Raw genomic sequence first — 16,052 nt, 5'->3', positions numbered from 1 at the left:
TCCTTTCTACTATCTAGCCATCCTGGTGGTCTTTTGAGTGACAAAGGGAATCTCAGAAATATCAACAGTGGTTTCTTAAGGAGATCTTAAGGAACTCAGCAGTTTAGTGCTGAAATACAGGTTGAAAAGCTAAGAACAACTTTCTTACTCTTATATTTTATGTTGTTGGTTCAAGTAGATTAAATTGGTGAGTTTTGTTCCATTCTGGGATATTACAGCTGGGGTGTTTTCCAACACCAACAACCAATTCTCTGATTCCTCTCATATCAACTGGATGTTCAACAATTCGATTCTGGCACTAACTCCATGGAGTTGGTGCAAACCCCACAGCTTACGAGTTCAGTCCCATAAGACTGCCCTCCACTCAGAAGCTAGTCACAAGTCCCAGGCCTCCATACTTCTGACCTAGTGAGTATAAATCAGGGGTTCCCATGACCCCTTCCTCAGGCTCCCGTAATTGGCTAGAATGGCTAACAGCACTCACAAAGCCACTTTAATTACATCTACCCATTAATTATAAAGGGTACAAATGAACCGCTAGATGGAGAGGTACAGAGGGTGAGGTCCAGGAGAATCCTGAGTGCAGGAGTTTCAGGGAGGTGGGGGGAGGGGTTGTCTCCTTATGAATACAAAATGACACTCCTATCACTCCAGAGATTCTGAGAGCTTTAGGTGCTGTGTGACAGAAACCAAAGACAAATATATTTCTTATTATAACACAAGACAGTCATGCATCCATTAATGACAGGTCCTCAGGCAATTTGGTCCAGGTGCAAACATCACAGATTATACATACACAATCCCAGATGGTAGAGCCTTCTGTACACCTAGGCTATATGGTGTGGCCTATTGCTCCTAGTCTACAAACGTGTACAGAAAGGGATTGTACTGATAACTGTAGGCAATTGGAAAACAATGGCAAATATTTGTGTATCTAAACATAGAAAAACTACAGTAAAAATACAGTATGAAAGATTAAAAACGGTACCCCTGTATAGGGCACTTGCGGTATATGGATCTATAGGACTGGAAGTTGCTCTGAGTGAGCCAGTGAGTGGGCAGTGAGTGAATGGACCTTCCTGTTTGCCACCGTAGACTTTATAAACACTGTATGTTTAGGCTACACTAATTTATAAACACTGTACATTTAGGCTACGCTAGTTTATAAAAAATATTTTTCTTTCTTTAATAATAAATTAACTTTAGCTTACTATAACTTTTTTACTTTTAAAGAGTTTTTATAACTTTTTGACTCTTTTGTTATAACACTTAGCTTGAAACACACATTGTACAGCTGTACAAAAACATTTTATTTCTTTATATCCTTATTCTGTAATCTTTCCTTTATTTAAACTCTTTTTAAAATTTAATTTAATTTAATTTTTTATTTTTTGGGAGACAGGGTCTTGCTCTGTTGCCTAGGCTGGAGTACAGTGGTGCAATCCTGGCTCACTGCAGCCTCAAACTCCTGGGCTCCAGTGATCCTCCTGCCTCAGCCTCCTGAGTAGCTGGGACTATAAGCATGGGTCACCACACCCAAGTAATTTTTATTTTTATTTTTGGTAGATACAGGATCGTACGTTGGCCAGGATGGTCTCGAACTCCTGGCCTCAAGGGATCCTCTCGCAAGTGATCTTCCCTCCTTGGCCTCATTTCCCAAAGTGCTGGGATTAGAGGTGTGACTCCTGGTCTTCTTCTTTTTTATTTTTTTTTTAACTTTTTAAATGTTTTTGTGAAAACAAAGACAAAAACACACACATTAGGGTCACCAGTGTGACACAGGATCAAGGTCACCAACATCACTGTCTTACACTTCCACATCTTGTCCCACTTGAAGGTCTTCAGGGGCAATTACACGCATAGAGCTGTCATCTCCTAGGATGACATTGCCTCCTTCTGGAATCCCTCCTGAACGAGCTGCCTAAGGCTATTTTACAGTTAACTCGTTTTCTTAAATAAGTAAAAGTGTGCTCTAAAACAATAAAAAGTATAGTATACTAAATACATAAACCAGTGGCATATTTGTGTATTATTATTGTCAAGTATTATGTACTGTACATGATTTATATGTGTTATATACAACTGACAGTGCAGTACATTTGTTTACACCAGCACTACAAACACTTGAGTAATTCATTGTATGCTACATTACGGCTACAGAGTCACTAGAAATAAGCAATTCTCAGCTCCATTATAATCTTCTGGGACCACTGTCCTATGCAGTTTGTCATCGACCTAAACATCATTATGCAGTGCATGACTGTATATATTTATGTATGTAATATAATATACCCTATTTTCAGGGTAATATTAATAGCTCAACAATATAAAGTAAGTTAGTTGTATTCAATCCAGACATAGGGAAATCTGAAGTATTTAATTTCAATACAAGTGTGTAATACAGTACTCTCACTGTGTATGGGTAATCTGAATATCTAGAGAAACATGCAACTTATATCTTTATGAAGATGGATAAAGTCTTTTTACTTTCTCATGGAAATGTCATGTTAGCAGTTTTAGATCAACTCACATTTCTAAAATTAGAAATCAGTTTTATAAGAATTTGCATTTTGGGCATCAAAATGAAAAAGAACAAATGCATATTCAGTCTGAAAAAATTGGACAGTATTTTTTGATGAAATATGAGGTATTAAGGTAACATACTAAGCAAAAATACTAGTCTTTTTTACTTTGATTAAAGGCTTAATATAAAGGGGAACACTTTAAATGAAAATAATTTGAACAAGTTTGGATTTAGGCTATTAGTACACAAGCAATGACAGTCAGATGCTTTTGGATTTTTGAGGTTGGTTCAAGAAAAAGTAAAGAAAAAGCCATCCTCTGAGAGAGCCAAAAATAAAACATAAGAGAGCTTATCATTCTGCAGAAGTAGCTCTCTCCAAGAGATGGTTTGATATTGCTGATGGAGTTTAAAAAAAACACCTCAATCCAATCAAGTTGGTGACTAGGGAATATCGAAAGCTTAGAATGCAAAAGAACACTGGAGCTCCATGAATAGCGTAATATTCAGCTGACACAGCCCTTGAGTCTCTTGGCTGGAGACATCCCTCTATAACCGTTGTACCAGACAAGTTGTTCCTTGTTGACACTACCCATTAAGAGCAGCCAGCTCTCCTTGTTCTGATTTCATGGTCACTTGGAAATCTTTTAACATAATTTGCCTTCTTTTGTACATTATACTGGTGGGAATGTGCTGACCAGAAAATACTTATCTTCTGGGCATTTACGTCTGTCAGTATAATTAGGCTTCTTGTTTTCAGCTCGTTTCCTTAGACTGATCCCTTTTTGGAGCATTAACAAAGTTACATTTCTGGACCTACAATGCTGAGAATTAAACCTACACCCTGAACTTGGTGATCCCTTAAGTAAGTGGTATGCCCTGAGACACATCTTTGGAGCCAGCTGTTTTCTTTCCATGATGGCTCAAGGACAGAGACAGAAATAGCAGCTACCTTTCCTGACTCCTGGCATGCACTCTATATACAGGTGCACCCCATTTTATTGCATTTCACTGTACTGTGCTTTGCAGATACTGCATTTTTTACAAATGAAGGTTTGTGGCAATCCTGGATCAAGCAAATCTATGAGCACCATTTTTCCAAAAGCAGGTGCTCACTTCCTATCTCTGTGCCACATTTTGGTAACATTTCAAACTTTATTATTATTATTATTATATCTTTTAGGATGATCTGTAACCAGTGATCTTTGATGTTACAATTGTAATTGTTTTGGGGTGCCAGGAACCAAGCCCATACAAAATGACAAACTTAATCAATAAATGTTGTGTGTGTTCTGACTGCTCCCCTGACCAGCCATTTCCCCCATCTCTCTCCTTCTCCTTGGACCTCCCTACTCTCTGAGACACAACAATATAGAAATTAGGCCAATTGGTAATCCTGCAATGATCTCTAAGTGTTCAAGCCAAAAGAAAAGTCCTGTGTCTGTCAGTTTAAATCAAAAACTAGAAAGGATTAAGCTAATTGAGGAAGGCATGTTGAGAGCTCAAATAGAAGGAAAGCTAGGTGTCTCTTGCCAATTACCCAAGTTGTGAACACAAAGAAAAAGTTTTTGAAGGATACTAAAATGCCACTCCAGTAAACACGTGACTGTCAAGAAAGCAAAACAGTCTTATTGCTGATATGGAGAAAGTTTGAGTGGTCTGGATAGAAGATCAAACCAGCCACAACATTCCCTTTAGCCAAAACCTGATCCAGAGTAAGGCCCTAGCTCTTTTCAATTCTATGAAGGCTGAGAGAGGTGGGGAAGCTGCAGAAGAAAAGTTTGGAGCTGGCAGAGGTTGGGTCATGAGGTTTAAGGAAAGAAGCTGTCTCCATAACATAAAAGTGCAAGGTGAAACAGCAAGTGCTGATGCAGAAGCTGCAGCAGGTTATTCAGATGATCTAGCTGAGATCATTAATGAAAGTGGCTACAGCAAACCACAGATTTTCCATGTAGAAGAAACAGCCTTCTATTAGAAAAACATACCATCTAGAACTGTCATAGCTGGAGAGGAGAAGTCAAGGCCTGGCTTCAAAGCTTCAAAGGACAGGCTGACTTTCTTGTTAAGGGCTAATGCAGCTGGTGACTTTAAGTTGAAGCCAATGTTCCAAATGGTAAATTTGGAAAAATCCTGGGGCCTCTAAGGATTATGCTAAATCTACTCTGCCTGTTCTCTATAAATGGGACACCAAGCTTGCATGATGGCACTTCTGTTTACAGCATGGTTTACTGAATATTTTAAGTTCATTGTTGAGACCGATTGCTCAGAAAAAAAATTCCTTTCAAAATATTACTGCTTATTAACAATGCGCCTTGTCACCAAATAGCTGTATGGAGATGTACAAATAGATGAATGTTGTTTTCATGCCTGCAAACACAACATTCATTCTGCAGTCCATGGGTCAAAGAGTAATTTTGACTTTTGAGTCTTTTTATTTATTTAAGAAATATATTTCCTAAGGCTATAGCTGCCATAGATAGTGATTCTTCTGATGAATCTGGAAAAAGTAAATTGAAAACCTTCTGGAAAGGATTTGCCATTTTTGGTACCATTAAGAACATTTGTGATTCATGGGAGGAGGTCAAAATATTAACACTAACAGGAGTTTGAAAGAAGTTTATTCTAACTCTTGTGGATGAATTTGAGAGGAGGTCAAAATATCAACATTAACAGGAGTTTGGAAGAACTTAATTCCAATCCTCATGGATGACTTGAGGTATTCAAGGCTTCAGTGGAAGAAGTCACTACCCATATGGTGGAAACAGCAAGAAAACTAGAATTAGAAGTGGAGCCAGAAGATGTGACTGAATTGTTGCTATCTCATGACAAAACTTGAATTGGTCAGGCATTGTGGCTTACGCTTGTAATCTTAGCACTTTGGGAGGCAGAGGCAGAAGGATCGCTTGAGCCCAAGAGTTTGAGAACTCATCTCTACTTAAAAAAAAATAAAAAAATAAAAACAATTAAAAAAAAGATGGGCATGGTGGCATTTGCCTGTAGTTCCAGCTACTCAGCAGGCTCAGGAGGCTGATGTGGGAGGGATTGCTTGAGTCCAGGAGGTCGAGGCTGCAGTGTGCTGTGTTTGTGGCACTGCATTCCAGCCTGGGCAACAGAGCAAGACCCTGTCTCAAAAAATAAACAAAAACAAAACTTGAGTGGATGGAGAGCACCTTCTTAAGAATAAATAAAGAAAATGGTTCCTTGAGATGGAATCTACTCCTGGTGAAGCTGCTGTGAACACTGAAATGAAAACAAATGATTTAGAATATTATATAAATGTAGCTCATAAATCATTGGCAGGCATTGAGAGGATTAACTCCAATTTTGAAAGAAGTTTTACTTTGGGTAAATTGCTATCAAACAGCATCACATACAACAGACAAATCTTTTGTGAAAGGCAGAGTCAATTGGTGCAGTAAACTTCATTGTTGTCTTATTTTCAGAAATTGCCACAGCCACCCCAGTCTTCCGCAAGCACCAACTCGATCAGTCAGCAGCCATCAACATCAAGACAAGACTTTCCATGGGCAAAGAGATTATGACTTGCTGAAGGCTCAGATGATCATTAGCATTATTTAGCAATAAAGTATTTTAAAATAAAGATATGTACATTTTTAGACACAATGCTATTGCATACTTAATAGACTATAGTATAAACTCCACTTTTTTTTTCTTTTTTTTTTATTATTCCACTTTAAGTTTTAGGGTACATGTGCACATTGTGCAGGTTAGTTACATATGTATACATGTGCCATGCTGGTGCGCTGCACCCACTAACTCGTCATCTAGCATTAGGTATATCTCCCAATGCTATCCCTCCCCCCTCCCCCCACCCCACAACAGTCCCCAGAGTGTGATGTTCCCCTTCCTGTGTCCATGTGTTCTCATTGTTCAATTCCCACCTATGAGTGAGAATATGCGGTGTTTGGTTTTTTGTTCTTGTGATAGTTTACTGAGAATGATGATTTCCAATTTCATCCATGTCCCTACAAAGGACATGAACTCATCATTTTTTATGGCTGCATAGTATTCCATGGTGTATATGTGCCACATTTTCTTAATCCAGTCTATCATTGTTGGACATTTGGGTTGGTTCCAAGTCTTTGCTATCGTGAATAATGCCGCAATAAACATACGTGTGCATGTGTCTTTATAGCAACATGATTTATAGTCCTTTGGGTATATACCCAGTAATGGGATGGCTGGGTCAAATGGTATTTCCAGTTCTAGATCCCTGAGGAATCGTCACACTGACTTCCACAATGGTTGAACTAGTTTACAGTCCCACCAACAGTGTAAAAGTGTTCCTATTTCTCCACATCCTCTCCAGCACCTGTTGTTTCCTGACTTTTTAATGATTGCCATTCTAACTGGTGTGAGATGGTATCTCATTGTGGTTTTGATTTGCATTTCTCTGATGGCCAGTGATGATGAGCATTTTTTCATGTGTTTTTTGGCTGCATAAATGTCTTCTTTTGAGAAGTGTCTGTTCATGTCCTTTGCCCACTTTTTGATGGGGTTGTTTGTTTTTTTCTTGTAAATTTGTTGGAGTTCATTGTAGATTCTGGATATTAGCCGTTTGTCAGATAAGTAGGTTGCGAAAATTTTCTCCCATTTTGTAGGTTGCCTGTTCACTCTGGTGGTAGTTTCTTTTGCTGTGCAGAAGCTCTTTAGTTTAATTAGATCCCATTTGTCAATTTTGTCTTTTGTTGCCATTGCTTTTGGTGTTTTAGACATGAAGTCCTTGCCCATGCCTATTAAACTCCACTTTTATATGTATTGGGAAACCAAAAAATTTGTGTGATTTCCTTCATGCTATATTCATTTTATTGTGGTGGTCTGGAACCAGACTGGTAATATTTCCGAGGTATGTCTGTATTATACTACCTGCTATTTTTAAGAGAATTTGTGTCTAGCTACAGTTAATGGGGGCATATTGCTATTCAAGAATTCCCATCATCAAATTTTCAGGTTTTCTTCTTCCAGATCTTTGACTTTGAGATAGCATGGTTGTACCATCAATAACTATGAAAATAGGATTAAAGAGACTGCTATTTTTCCTTCTGGAGTTTTCATGCCTTTCTTTAAATGCCATTAGCTTATTCGGTATTGGTTGTAGTGGGAAGTGAAGCTTTTTTTTTTTTTATTGACAAGAGGATTCTTATCTTGTTCAGTTTATACAGACTCTAAGCATCATCAGAAAAATTATGTCTATGTTGGATTTTTAAAAATTCAAGGAAGTAGACCTGAAGGGAGTATTTTTAAGCTACTTTTTGATAACTTTGTTCAACTAAAAGAAAGCACAAATGTACAAGTAAGTAGATTTCTATATAGATTTTAAGTCATTTGTTCAAAATCACATAATGTGCATATTATCTTATTTATAAAGCTTTATGATATCATTTATTTAAAATTGGTTTTAGACTGGGCATGGTGGCTCATGTCTGTAATCTCAATACTTTGGGAGGCCAAGGCCGGAGGGTGGCTTGAGGCCAGGATTTCAAGACCAGCCTGGGCAAAACAGTAAGACTCTATCTCTACCAAAGTAAATAAATAAATAAAATTATTTTTAATTATTCAATATAATTTACACTTCTTTCTGAACCAGTATTTACATTTAAATAGTATGCTATGCAATTATTTATACCTCGACCCACTAAAGGAAGCTTAATATTGGACCATCCATGTAGGAAAACACAACTGTAACATAGAAAATTATTAACAGTGGCATTAACATGAAAATAAACTTGATGATAATAGTTGTTGAAGATAGTGACTAATGAAATATTTTTGGTTGCTGTGGAAAATTTGCTTGTCCAAGCAAGTATAGAATTCTGTTAAGATAACTTCTCCTCAGTTATACCAAAGCATATAAAGAAATTCACTCTGTGTTAAATTCTCCCAAATGGTCATATTCAAAATATATGCTAAGAAACAATCTCAAGTCTTAAAAACATATTAAACCCCATCTCTACAAATAGTTTAAAAATTAGCCAGGCATAGTGCTGTACACCTGTGGTCCCAGCTACCCAGGAGGCTGAGGCAGGAGGATCACCTGAGCCCAGAGGTCAAGGCTGCAGTGAGCTGTGGTGGCACCAGTGCACTCCAGCCTGGGTGATAAAGCGAGACCTTGTCTCAAAAAAACACAGAAAAAACCCACACTGCTACCAAGAGCCAATCCTGCTATTGATCAAATAATAAAGCAATGTAATTTAATCCTACTTAGAAAAGAAATATAGGCCAGGCCTTGTGGCTCATGACTGTAATGCCAGCACTTTGGGAGGTTAAGCGGGGAGGATTGCTTGACCCCAGCAATTTGAGACCAGCCTAGGCAATACAGTGAGACCTCCATCGCTACAAAAAAATTTAAAAAATTAGCCAGAAGTGGTGGCACATGCCTGTGGTCCCAGCTTCTCTGGAGGCTGAGGTGGGAGGATCAGTTGAGCTTGGGAGGTGGGGGCTACAGTGAGCCATGATCATACCACTGCACTCTAGCCTGGGTGACAGAGCAAGATCCTGTCTCAAAAAAGAAAAGTAAAGAAAAGAAACATACACAACCAGCCAGAAAAATGTAAACAAGTTTAGCGAAGTTTTTAAAATGGAGAGTTCCTTGGATAAAACCAGTCACTATCTTAGCAGGTGGAAAGTTTCATTTTCATTGACAATAGATGGACACATTATAGGACTGCTGTGCCTGTTATGTTTTGATGACCTCCAGAAAGGGGTTCTCTGTATCATGCCATCAGAAATTTCTATCTTAACAATAAACCATCCTTGTCTATCTGGTCAACTTTGCATTGAGAGTTGGTTGGATTCAACTGAATTATAAAAGTAAAATGCCTAGCAACTACCAATGCTATAAACCCCTTTGCTCATGATGGATCATTAGCAAAGTTATAAAAATCAACAATATGGCTATTTCATTTTAATCTGCAGCCGTTCAGATAAAAGGGATTTACTACAACAGCTTTCAAAAATTTTGTAAGAAGTGTACTAATGCGTTCCTGCTTATATTTCCATAAAATTTGAATAACAGTGTAGTTTAAGACAGATGTCAGCTTCTCTGAACAGAATCATATGTTGTCAGCACTATGCACCTATGCACTTACATTTAAGTAGCTGTAGATGAGGTTTCCTGCCTGTTTCAACTTGTTTCATTGGTGTATCCTTTTCCTTATGTAAACCCAGCCCCTGAAAACAGTGTGTCTGCTTTCATAAACTTAAACCAAATATAGTCAATAAACATGTTATAAAAACAATTGTTTCCCCCCAAGAAGTGAAGATAAGCTGATGTAAATTCACTTTATTTGGATTTCAATCCAGCTTTCTTCTTTGATTTCATATATTATAACATCAATATTCACTTTTCTGAAGGGCTCCTGGAACCAGAAGTGCACTTAACTCTTTCTGTGCTGGGGACATTTTGATATCTCTATTACTAATACCTAGAATCTCCAATGATAAATAAATACCTCTGGGATGGACTGGGGATACACTGCAATAATTGAAGCACTTTATCCTTCACCAAAAATGGTATCCGTGTTCCTGTGAGTAGCAGGGAGGTGGAACTCTCACCTGCTGAGTCCCGTTCTAATTTCATCCAATCTGGTGAACAAGTATCCAACCAAAGGTGGTACCTGCAGGCATGCCCATTGTCACAGTAATGCAACACTGTAAGTCCTTAGCACAATGTTAAAATTGGTTGGAACTGAGTTTCAAATGTTTTCCTCTCGCTACTGAGGTCTTCTACTTCTTTCTTTTTCTCTTTGTCTCTAATATCTTTTTCTTTTTGTTTTTCTTTTTCTTCTTCTTTTTTTTTTTTTTGAGTTGGAGTTTCGCTCTGTTGCCCAGGCTGGAGTGCAGTGGTACTATCTCAGCTCACTGGAGCCTCTGCCTCCCAGGTTCAAGCGATTCTAGTGTCTCAGCCTCCCGAGTAGTTGAGATTACAGGCGCCCGCCACCACACCCAGCTAATTTCGTATTTTTAGTAGAGACAGGGTTTCACCATGTTGGCCAGGCTGGTCTCGAACTCCTGACCTCAAGTGATCCGCCCTCTTCGGCCTCCCAAAGTGCTGGGATTACAGATGTGAGCCGCCATACCTGGCTAATATATTTTTCTTAACTGACTAGAGCACAGAACACAAATCGTGTGTTTGCACTTACAAATTTCTATGATCATTGTTCCTAGTTTAAAAACTTCATTAGCAAAGGGGTTTATATTTCTCTTTTCAGTAAGGACACGAAATTATGTTTCAACAATGCCCAGTCTCACCTAAAAAGCAAGTTTTCATTCTCTGTTTATGGTAGCCCACGACAAACCAAAAAGATCATTTTGGATGGTATCATTGTTAATCCTGCTAAATGATTCAATTTCCTGCTGAAAGCAACAAACTAATACTTATTTAGTACCTACTATTTATTATTTGCATACTAGGGTTTATACACAAGGCGTCCTATGAAAGAACATTTCATTCAAAAGTCACAACATATAGTCTTCAATTATCAGCTACCTTTATTTGTAAGCCAAAATAAATGATTTAATACAGTCCTCCCAAACTGGGAGACAATGCTTTGAGAAAGGCCAAAGCTAGCCAGTAAGGCCATAAGTTCCATGAGGGCAGGATCTACCCAGCTCCTGTTTCCTGCTCAATTCCAAGCAGTTAGAACAGGGTCAGTAAACACTGCTTGCCACTTGGAAAGAGTATTCTTTTATTTGGAAATGGTATCCAGGTACTCGTGAGTAGCAAAGTCAAGAGCAGGAAAGGGGAGTGGGGGAGGTTGCAAAATCGGAGCGAGCAGCAGGACCGAGAGGGATCCGGAGGAGAGAGCCTTCAGACGGTGAACCCCAAGAGCTGGGATGAAGCATGGGTGAGCTACTGGGACTTCGCTGCCAGGGAGCAAGCTGGCAGGCAGGAAGTAGCCAAGATTTGGGGGAATCCTTCCCAGGGAACGAATACAGAGAAGGACGCATCTGAAAATTCCGCCGCAGCCACCTCCCTCCCATGGGAAAGCCCCGACCTCGGCGGGCCCAGCGCCACCCGGCTCCCCGGGGTGTGGAACACTGAGCGAGGCAGGTGCGGCGGGAGCATGCGCGCGGGGCGGGCAGGGGGCGGCTCCCGCGCCCCCACCCCGCGCGTGCACCCTCGCGCCCCTCCCGCCGGGCACCGCGGGGCAGCGGCGCCGCAGCCTGGGCTGGCGGAACCTCGCGCTCCGACTCGCCCCCCGCCTGTAGCTCGGTCGGCGTTGCGGGCAGGCGCCGCTCCGCTGGGGGTAAGAAGGACGCCGCCGCCCGCGTGGGATGGTCGCGAGCCCGCGTGGGTGCCCACGGCCGCCGCCGCGCGGGGTGGCCCCATCCCCGGGCAGGTAGAGGGGCCTGCACGACTCCCGCGGCGAGGGCCGGGCCGGTGGGGGCGGTGGCGGTTGGGGATAGCCCCGGTCCCGGCCCAGGCTCTTTCTCTTTCTCTTTCGCCGCCGGGGCGCGCGCCGGGCTCCCCGCGAGAGGCGCTGCCTCACTTGTCGCCTACTTTGGACGGGCGCGGCCGCCGCAGAGCCCGGCGCCTCGGTCAGCCGCGAGGGCAGGGTCGGGGTGCCAGGCGCGGCTACCTGGGCGCCCTGGAGCCAGCGCAGCCTGGGACCGGGGGAGCGGGACGGGACGGGACTCCTGAGGGCCCCCAGGCAGTCCTCCGGCCATCGAGCGCCCGGCGGTGGGCATTTGGCTTTTGTTTCCTCTGGGGCTAACGCCCCCGTCTGCCCGCGTGTCCCCCTCAGCCGACAAGTGTCGTGTGCCCGGACGGGCGAGCGCTGCCTCCCTCCACCCGCTTTCTGCCCTTGTCTTCCTCTGCGAGTTCTGCCCAGCCTCGGGAGCGGGAGCCCAGGGAGTGCGCGCAGGGCGGGCGGGCGCCTGGCCAGCCTGGGACGGCGGCTCTCAGGCTCCTGCCACCGCCTGGAACTGCGGGGGGCGCGCCGGCCACAGTCGCCCTCGCCTGCTCTCCGGGCCTTCTTGGGCCCGCTTGGTCCCAGGTGGACGCGAGTCGAGCTGGGCACACCTGGGCCAGCGCCGCACTTACCTGCGGGATTGGTGAGAGCGTTTTCGCGAGGTCGCAAATTCCGGGTGGGTATTGTCCCCTGCTTTTGATCTCCCTTAGTCACTGGTTAAAGTGCGAAGTGTGCTTTATCTTACATATGCCTTTAGAGGGACATTCTTAATGCGCCAATGCCCCGAGGTGGAACTAAATAAAGGGAAGGCCTGGTCATTGTTACTGTTGAGACTGCTGTACTTAACAGTCAGAGGAAGGCAGCTGGTCACCACGACCCACTCGGCCATTCCCATGCTGAAGACTCGCTCTCACTTCACACTTGTTTGGACTCCACTATGACTTGCTGGTGGCCCATCTCCTGGATCCTTCTGTTGGAGCTGTTCTAGAAGATGCTTGTGGCAGGCTCCAGTTTCAGTCCTTGGCTGAAATAAGTGTAGTGTGGCTCTTCGGTTTTCTAATCTATTCCACCTAAAAAGGTTAAGGTGACAAACAGGTGGTGGGTACAGTAGAGTTGTTTTTGGCCCTTGGTAATATTAAAAACTTGGAATGCATTCCTTATATTACTACAGAATTAGGAGAAACGGTTGAAAGAGGAGAGGTTTTTTTCTTGGAGTATCCAAAGGGATTGGATTCGACTACACTGACTTGGTGTGTAATGGTTGAGTAGGAAGGAAGATGAACATAAAACTGCTATTAATTATGCTCTTAGATGTGAGGCAACATTGAGGATGTATTGCATGTAACCCTTGACTGCAGAATCACTTAGCACTTTGCTGTACAATATTGGGGTCACAAGAAATGTTCAGCTTGGTTAACCTCTGCAGTGTGCTCTCACTCAGTTTCCAAAGAAAGGGTATTGGTGGGAAGGTGATCTGGTGAAGACAGAGGTAATGAAAGTGAAGGAACTGTGTTAACTTTCACTTTTTAAACATTTTATTTTTATTTTTTAGAGATAGGGTCTCACTCTGTCACCCAGGCTGAAGTGCAGTGGTACCATCATGGCTCACTGCAGCCTTAACCTCCTGGGCTCAAAGGATCCCGCCTCAGCCTATTGACTGGGAGGGTAGCTGTGCACCACCATGCCTGGCTAATTTTCTAATTTTTTTTTTTTTGTAGAGACGGAAACTCATTTAACTTTCACTTTAAAGAGAAGTAAGCTTGCATATTTTAAAGTTCTCATAAGAATCTTAGGTGCTCTGTAACATCTGTATAACTTCATTACAGTACCTGTGTGGTTTATATCTTAAACGACACTTCTTACTCCTTTTTGGTGGTAATAAGCCTCCTTTGCTTGGCATGGGACTTGGCACGTGGGTAAGTGCATGCTCAACAAATACTCGTAGGACCGAGTCCGTATGTGAGCAGACAACTGCTGAGCAGAGGCAGGAGGTGATAAAAGCAACAGTGAGGGAGATCAGGCTGACTCTGAAGGAAGATTTGCTGATGGAAAGCCCTCGAGTTCTTCCTATGAAGAAAAGGCCAACCTGAAAGCCACTTCCAGGAGGCTGCGTAGGAAGCACCAGCACCCAGTCTGACCAAGGAAGCAGAAGCTTCAATCCCTCCTCCCCCCATCACTCCTTCAAGTGGGTTAAGTTTTCTGTTCTCCAGAGAGCCGAAGGAGGGTCTGAAAATCGCCATTAGATAAGTGTTCATTCTTTCAGTTAATTATTATAATTAAGAAAGAATGCTGCTGCTGGTGAAGTGGGGGAGTGAGCAGGAGAGGTAGGTTTGGTGGGCTGGAGGCAGGGTGGAAAGGATAAATTCCATTTATACAACACTGGATTGAGAAAACCAAAGACTGCACGTTCTCACTTACAAGTGGGAACAAAATGATAAGCACACATGGACACATAAAGGGGAACAACATACACTGGGACCTATCGAAGGATGGGAGGAGGGAGGGGATCAGGAAGAATAACTAATGGATACTAGGCTTAATACCTGGGTGATGAAATAATCTGTACAACAAACCCCCAGGAAACAAGTTTACCTATGTAACCAACCTGCACACGTACCCTAACTGAAAAGAAAAGTTAAAACAATGCATTTATCAAATTACTCTACTAAAATATTATTTTAGTAATGCTTATATCATGTATTAATATATTATAGGAAATATATTTTGGTAAAAGCAAAATGATTTTGCGTTGTGAAAAACTAAACATATCATTTGGCTCATCCTTAAACAACAGAAAACCACTGAATTGAAAACCCTGAAATGGCTTTTCAGTGGAGAGAGAAACTCTGATGTTGGATCGGGGGAAAGCCAGTTAGGAAATACTCAGCGACTATGGGGGTGATCCTAAAAAGCATGTGTTAGGGTGACTAAACTAGCATTGAGAGAAAAGAACAGTTCCATGGCTATGGTCCATGCCCAGGAAAGGAGTCAGTGAGAGAAACTAAGAAGTGGTCTGAGGGGGAGGAAAACCAGGTGTCTCAGTCACAGGGAAGCCAGTGGAGAAGTAAGGGAGGGAAGGGAGGGAACAGCGTGGTTAGTCTTGTCAGTTGCTAATAAAAAATAGGCGCTGAGAAGATGAAGTTGAACTTGGCTAAAAAGAGGTGATCTCAGTGGTAACACATCAGTGCAAGCTGTGGGTAAATGTTTTGCTTTCTGTTTGAGGAATACAGATGTCCTCCCTTCATTCGAATAGCATTTTACACTTTACAAAACATTTCCATCTTGTAGCATTGGCAAAAATATTTTGAGGATAGTTTATTATAGGAACATACCTCCAATTGAAGAAAACTACTTAGGTCCATAAAAAAATGCACTATTTACTACAGTGAATAACAGCAAGCAGTATAAATATCGGCATCTTGTACTTAAGCAAAATAAAGCAGAACGATGAAATTAGAAGATGCTTGGGGGAAATGAAGCTCTTCAGTTCACTTATACACATATAATCTTTTGTTTAAGCATTTGCATTAATTTTTTAAAGGATAGTGCCTTAGGATAATTTATCCATATTTTATTATGCAAATACAAACGATTTTTTCCACGGTAGCAATGGAAAAGTGAAACCTTAACTCTGAGCCCATCAGAGTTGTCACAGGTCTGTTCCCTTGACCTATGTGTCCCTTTTGGGGATGATGTCGCCGTAATGGAGGCCCTGCTCAGTGTCACCTGGTGAACCTTCTTCATTTTGTGTTGATCTCAGCTCACATGGGAAACATTCTCTTAATGAGGCTGGAAGTAATGAGGCAAACTCTGACAATGCTTATGTATCCCTCCTGAAGATGGATGTGAAATGATAAAAGTGTGGTCGCTGCCACAATTAATAATTGATTAATAAATTGTTTGAAAAGTATCAGGTGGGGACCGCAGGAGATGAACAGCAGTGCATGCATCTCATTTCTTTTCACTGTAACTAGCCAGAGAGAATGTGTTTAACTAGAGGGACAGATAGAGAGTATAACACTTTTACACCCAGTATTTTGGTATGTAAGCTATTCTGATAGCTTTTAAGATGATCATGACAGGAGCTTTTTAGATTA

The 16,052-nt window shown here is 41.9% G+C and overlaps 1 protein-coding gene across 23 annotated transcripts in view, besides 1 other annotated feature; it reads left to right on the top strand.

Moving 5' to 3' along the window:
- The first annotated feature begins 11,331 nt into the window (after nucleotides 1-11,331).
- Nucleotides 11,332-16,052, top strand: part of L3MBTL4 (L3MBTL histone methyl-lysine binding protein 4) — a 460,543-nt gene continuing 455,822 nt past the window's right edge. For 16 of the 23 annotated variants that reach the window (NR_158610.2, NR_158609.2, XR_935072.2 and 13 more), the window contains exon 1: nucleotides 11,680-11,790. The gene's annotated coding sequence lies outside the window, so the exon portion shown is untranslated. Of the gene's footprint in view, nucleotides 11,389-11,679; nucleotides 11,884-11,974; nucleotides 12,632-16,052 lie in introns of those variants that run through there. The other 7 variants (XR_007066253.1, NM_001365765.2, XM_047437914.1 and 4 more) reach the window with 3 other exon arrangements.
- Nucleotides 11,638-12,177: a silencer, noted in NCBI's record as "silent region_9267". NCBI's record gives its function as "represses an Ori minimal core promoter by ATAC-STARR-seq in GM12878 lymphoblastoid cells {active_cell/tissue: GM12878}" and the evidence as "EXISTENCE:reporter gene assay evidence [ECO:0000049][PMID:35858748]".

This window comes from Homo sapiens, chromosome 18 (assembly GCF_000001405.40).
Source record: "Homo sapiens chromosome 18, GRCh38.p14 Primary Assembly".
Classification (NCBI taxonomy): Eukaryota; Metazoa; Chordata; class Mammalia; order Primates; family Hominidae; genus Homo; species Homo sapiens.
Note: the sequence above shows the minus strand (reverse complement) of the source record. Positions and strands in the feature narration are given on the sequence as shown.